Raw genomic sequence first — 6,570 nt, 5'->3', positions numbered from 1 at the left:
AGATTCTGGCAAATAATTAATAAATAGAAAACAGCTTGTTGCTTTCAACACTGTTCCTCTGCCCATAGTTGGCAGCAACCAACTCCCACACTGGATATATAGGGACGAAGGAAGTATAGAAAGTAAGAAAGGAAACTTTTGGAAGAAACTGCAAGATGCTGGGCAAGAGACTAGAGCTGAGCCATAAGTTCCAGAGGAGAATTTTCCTACATCCATCCAGGACAAACATAGAAGAGCAAACACAACGCAGTCTACTACTCAGTTTATGACATATGGCCAATCAAATACATGCATCCAAATCAAAAGTGCCAAATGAATTCTTCTGCCAATTCTTACGATTTCTGTGCAATTTAAAGAGTGAAATCAGAGAAAAATAAAGACAAAATAACCATATTGAATAGTAAGACAGCAAGTGACTCCAGGGTCATGAATAAACCCAGAACAGCCAGTCCCTGGTGGCCACTTTAGTGACAGAGGGCAAGGGGGCGAGATCATCCCCAAAGATCTGCCCTTTGGTGCTCCTTGCAGCCTCTGCCCCTCATCTAATAAATGTGAACATGTTAAAGCATTAGGAATAGATTGTGCTGACTTTCCAAGAGACAGTGTCATTTTTTTAAGTAGTGCTCAGTTTACAAGCAAATCTTAACACCATGCAACAAATTGCTAATAATGGCATTCAAAAGTCAAAAATGACCACAACGATCTAAGTCATGGACATGGAGAGTAGAAGGATGGTTACCAGAAGCTGGGAAGGGTAGTGGGGTGGGGAAGAAGGTGGGGATAGTTAATGGGTACAAAAAAAATAGAATGAACGCAACTTACTATTTGATAGCACAACAGGATGACTATAGTCAATAATAACCTTATGGTGCGTTTTTAAATAGCTAAAAGAGTATAATTAGATTATTTATAACACAAAGAATAAACGCTTGAGGGGATGGGTTCACCACTCTCCATGATGTGATTATTACACACTGCATGCCCGTATCAAAACGTCTCATGTACCCCGTAAATATATACACCTACTAGGGACCCACAAAAATTTAAAAATTAAATAAAAATTTTGACCTGGAGCCATGGCTCATGCCTGTAATCCCAAAACTTTGGGAAGCTAAGGCAGGTGGATCACTTGAGGCCAGGAGTTCAAGACCGGCCTGGCCAAAATGGCAAAACCCTGTCTCCACTAAAAATATAAAAATTAGCCAGATTTTGTGGTGCACACCTGTAGTCCCAGCTACTGGGGAGGCTGAGGCACAAGAATTGCTTAAATCCAGGATGTTGGGGTTGCAGTGAGCTGAGATCATGCTACTGCACTCTAGCCTGGGCGACAGAGTGAGACTCTGCCTCAAAAAAATAAATAAAATAAAATAAAATAAAATAAAATAAAAATGTTGAAAGTCAAAGATGGAAAGGGCAAAATTAACTTTCCCAGGACTCTTTGAATCAAGCGACAGGTTTGAGTCCCAATTATCAGTGAACCTGTGTCTTACAGCCACCTCTCCATGTTAGTCTGCCTGTGTGCACCTGTGTGTTGCCTATTCTTCAAAATGCAAACGGGAGGGAAGACTGTGGGTTTGTGAGAGGAAAGATTATAGGTTCCGGTCAACACTGAGTTGGAATCTAGACCCCTCCTTTTCTTCCTGGGTCACTTTTAGCAAGTTCCTGAACATCCCTGCCTCTCAGTTACCTCCTCTATAATACAAGGGCTATCAAGCCCAATGCTGATGCTAGACATAGAATGTCAAGCACCTGAAATTCTTGGTGCAGTCAGGAATAAAACTACAGAAAAGTAAAAACATCTTTCTCAGAGTCCTACAACATGTCTCGGTTTAGTGCTTTTGTGCTGGGAATTTTCTTGTTCAACTGGACCTTTGGAATGAAAAGGATACAATCTGCATTTAGGGTGCCTTCCAGTCCCCTGAACAGTCCCCTCTGCTGAAATTGTGCTAAAGCCCAGGACCAGCCGGGAGTCCCCTTACCAAGACCACCTCTTAGAAATTGAGTCAAATTGCATATTACCCCATATTTAAAAATGACAGTTGCCTTAGAAACAAAACTCACTGATACAGGGAACACTTATTCCATCTCCAGTATTTCAACTGCTTTGAGAAACAAGGTACTAAAAGTATGTTTTGCTAACGTTTTAAAGCCTAATACATTTAATCCAGGAGCCCAAATGAACATCAATTGTCCAATTAAACGTATGTTCTCAAAATCTAAAATACTCCTAGTCACAGTGTTACAACTTAAAATAGACACTCAGGCTAATCTTACAGGCCCCCAGGTTTCTAGTGGCTTCCCTTTGCAGGCTGATTTCTACAAGTAGCAACTGCTTTCATCGATGTTTCCCCACTGTGTGTCTTCACGGTAAAGATTCCTGTGCACCTTGCAAATTCAAACACTCCATCTGGATGCATTTGTCACCTACAGAAAACACAAAAGCATTTCTCAAAGTAACAGAACTCCACTGCTTTGCAAACTTCCTATTTCACAGCACGGAGTGGGAGAGGCAGAGAGAGGAGAGGAAAAAAAAAAAAAAAGTACACCGAGTTCCTCTGAAGCCCCCTCCTGACATTTCCAGACTTATTGGCCAGTTTTCACACTGACTTCAATCAACCTCTTTAATCCTCTAAGGAAAGAGCATTTTTAATTCACCGATTGGCTGATAAGCTTGAAGCCAAAGACTGATTTACACGTAGATGAATTGTGCTTACAAGATGGAACTTCGAGCATTAGAAGCGGATCTGAATTTCCTATCTGTCATTTTATTTGCCACATTCATTTTTTCTCTGCCATTACGCTTGCTGATTGTGATCTTTCAGCGCTATTGGGCCCCTGCTTCCACAGTTTTTAATCTGCCTTTAATCCCATAGATTTTAAATATTCCCAGCACCGAGAGACTGGAGGCAATTAACTGCCCTTCTGATGCGCTTCTTATCAGTTGCCTCCTTGTATCTCTCAGAAGCAGCCTCAAGACACTTCCAGGCTGACAAATACTACCAGCATTTCAGATGAAGAATCCACTGCAAATGGGAACGTGAAGTCCAGCTGTGCACGCTGATGTTGAGCGATCGCAGCCGTTTTTGGAGGAAGAAATTGGGAAGGGAAGGCTGGGGAGACAGGCACTGGGTGCCAGAGCCCCCGGTGCGCAGGCTCAGAAGCAATGCCCTCGTAATGGCTTTTTGGACTTGGGAGAAAAAATAATAATAAAGGTGCATTGTGTAATCTGCTTAATCTGACTGCTGTTTTTAACTAGAAAATCATTTTCAGCTCTCTGGCTTTAACGAGGGATTCAGAGGGGCTATCAAAAGGAGACATCAGGTAGCATAAGCTCTTTGAATCCGGCTCACGCCTCCTCTCTGGGCCTTGTTTCCTTTTGTGCCCGTTTTAAATGGGTTACAATGCAAATCTGCCCACTGGGTTTCCCCACCACTAGTCGAGAAATTTCTAACACCTTTAAACTGATGTTCATTCGAATTTGAGCAAATTTAGATTTTCAAACAGAACTTTACACCTCAATTTCTGCATTATAGGCTAATGTGCTCTGAGGATCACTATGGACCCTAATCAAGGTGACACAACCCGGTCACCACGAAAGAAAACAGTAATTGTCATTAAAATGTGCGTGTTCATTTACTACACTTACATACGCTCTAAAAAAAGGCCAGCTTCCCACTTCAGAGCCTACTCAGGGCCCTGAGGGGAACAGTCCTAGATACAGAAGGAGCTTCCTTTGGTCTCTCATTGAGGATAAGTCAGCTTGACTCTATCACCTATTCCTGGTTAAAAGTTTGAGCCTAGTGCTATTTTGAAAGTTAGTGTTAAAATGAAAAAAAAAAAAAAAAAGAAGAAGTTTAAAGCTATAATCCAAAAGATGGAGAGAAAGGCCCTCCTTCGCCCACTGGACATCATATCTCAGAAAACCGAGTGACTGGTTCTCTTCCTTAGACAACCAATCTCCTAAGCAGACATATCTGCTTATAACAGTTTGACATATAACAATTTGACTTCCAAGTGATCAAGCTATTTGGGCTTTTCATAAGAAAGCTGTGTGTACTGTTTTGTATTGTCTTGCTGTGTGTGTGAACGCATACATTTCTTGTAAATTCTTCTTACCATCAGGTCAGATTGCCATTAGTTCACCCAATGTTGAGTGCCTTTGTCAGTAATTCCTTCTACCACAAATTCAGCCACACTCATTTTGGTTTATGCTGACATCTCTCCTCATAGCTGTGCCATGAGTTTTCTTGTGCAGAAGTAAATGTAACCCTCCCTCTGTGGGGAAAAAATGATATATGTCTCTGACCTTACTCAGTTTAAGGGTTGGTCCCCAAATCTAACCATATTTTCTTTGGGTGAAAAATAGGCATTAAATAAGCAGGCAATCATGTATCCAAGAAGAGTTCTCTATCTTTTGGAGGCTGCTCTATATCTTTTGGGAACAAAAATTATAGAGGATAATGTCAAACAGGGAGAGAGGAGATGGCAGGGGAGACAAACAATGCATTAAGTGCATGTGGTTAATTGATTGGCTGCACTTTCTGTACTAAAAGAAAAATGCAAGCTTTTTCATTCAACCTCTGCCGTGAACCAAGCACATTGTAAATGGACGGATGTTACCGTGTGGCAATGCTATGTTGAGAGGTTGTTTATAAACAACACCCAGCAACATAAACAAGGGAGCATCAAGAAAAGCAAATGATGAGGGAGAGGCCACAACTTCATTATATAACAAGAGGAACACCGGGTAGCAGCTCTCGCTGTGTTGTTTTGCTGTGACTTGCAGCTTTGCTTAAGCATTTTAAAGATTCTTGCAGGTCTTTTTCAAGCTGCCAGCTCTAGCCTGCGAATTATGGTAATGTGCCACTTCTGAGCCCTCGGCAGGATTTGCAACAGAGAAATCACATCAGCCTATGCTGATTAGCAATTCCATTCCATCCAGAGATTTATATAAAAAAACTATCTTACATTTTGCTTTTTAATAAGAATGATCGCTATCTCAAATTGAGTCCCAGCAAATTTTAATAAAGGCCCAAGGTTGAGTGGCATTTTGCATGCTGATTTAGCTGTGATTGCTAGCTTTTGATGAGCTCTACCCTGGCATGTATAGCTCTCCTCAGAGCAGGTTTAAAGACCAGGAGTAAGGAAAAGGATAAAAATAAAACTTCCAACTAAAATTCGAGGTCTTTTCTTTCTGTGATTGATTACAGAATAAATACCAACATGCATCTTTGGATTCAACCTAAGAGTGAAATTCCCTACTGTTAAACAGCTGGTTTTTTTTTAAAATGACTTTTCATATACCAACCTGTCAAAATATGTTAACTTTGATGACTGCAATTATTATTTTCAAAAGATGTTATCCATCTATTTATCTATCTTCCACCCTGATATTTCTTCTTAAATCATATGCAGAGCCACAAACAAGTAACATTTTGGTTTCCTGATAAGTAAAATGTCAATAAATAAATATCTCTTGAGAGGTAAAGTTCTCCTTTGTTGAAATAGAGGCACATTAACTAGGCTGAACAGGAAAGCTGGAGGTTAACTGAGATTTTCAGCCTATGTCCATGGTTGGAAAAGACTTCTCCAAGAAGACAAAGAATATTTGGGCACAGTCCCTATGGTTGTTTCAATGTTTTGTGTAACTTAAAAAACTAACATGTCAATGATTATAGTTTTATGAGATGGTGTTAATACTTGTTGTTAGACACCATTTATCTCTGTTGTCCCTGATTTCATTGTTATGTAGATCTGTCTACTATAATTCCACACTACCATGAAGGTCCCCTCAAGCAGTTAAGGGAACATCCTGTTCAAGCTTGCCTGCCTACCAAAGAAAGATGTGATTGGCCAATACAAAGCAGAATTCAAATTAAGCCGAAGAATACATATGTGATTTGGTTCATTGGCTAAAGTTCACCAAATTCCACCCAACAGATAGGCCAAGAGTTTCCAAAGCAGAGATTCTAAGAAAAAATAAATAAAAAGACTGCAGCTAAATCACAGAAATAACTAAATCTCAAAATGCATACAACCATTTTTAATAGAATTTTAGCAGTAAGAAAGTATTGTTCTAATAGCCAAGCACTTCTTGGTTATAGCATTTTTCCCACAGAAATCCTTGTTTGGTTTTCCTGTTTTTTAGGGGAAAATAGAAAAATGAGGTAACATAATAATGTTCATCACAAAAGACAGTAATCACACGAAAACTTAGCTAGTCAGTATTGTCAAGAAATTTTCCAGATAATTAAAGCCTACCCATTTACACGTCTTTGTTGTTTTGCATTAGAAATATTCCTTATAAGTATTTTACATTTGTATACTTTCTTAAACAAAACAAAATCTACACTATTTAATCATTTTTGTTTCAGTTGCTCTAATGGACATTTTTGTGATACACTAAGTATTCTAAATACATTTATAAATAGTAAATAATGGTAACATTAATATTAATAGTAAATAATGGTAACATAAATATTAGATATTATCATTTACCTTTTCAATAAATAATGTATTGAACATCGATGATAAGCCAAAACCACTGCTTAGTCCTGGAAAATGCAATGA

This window comes from Homo sapiens, chromosome 10 (genome assembly GCF_000001405.40).
Source record: "Homo sapiens chromosome 10, GRCh38.p14 Primary Assembly".
Classification (NCBI taxonomy): domain Eukaryota; kingdom Metazoa; phylum Chordata; class Mammalia; order Primates; family Hominidae; genus Homo; species Homo sapiens.
This window is presented reverse-complemented; position numbering follows the sequence as displayed.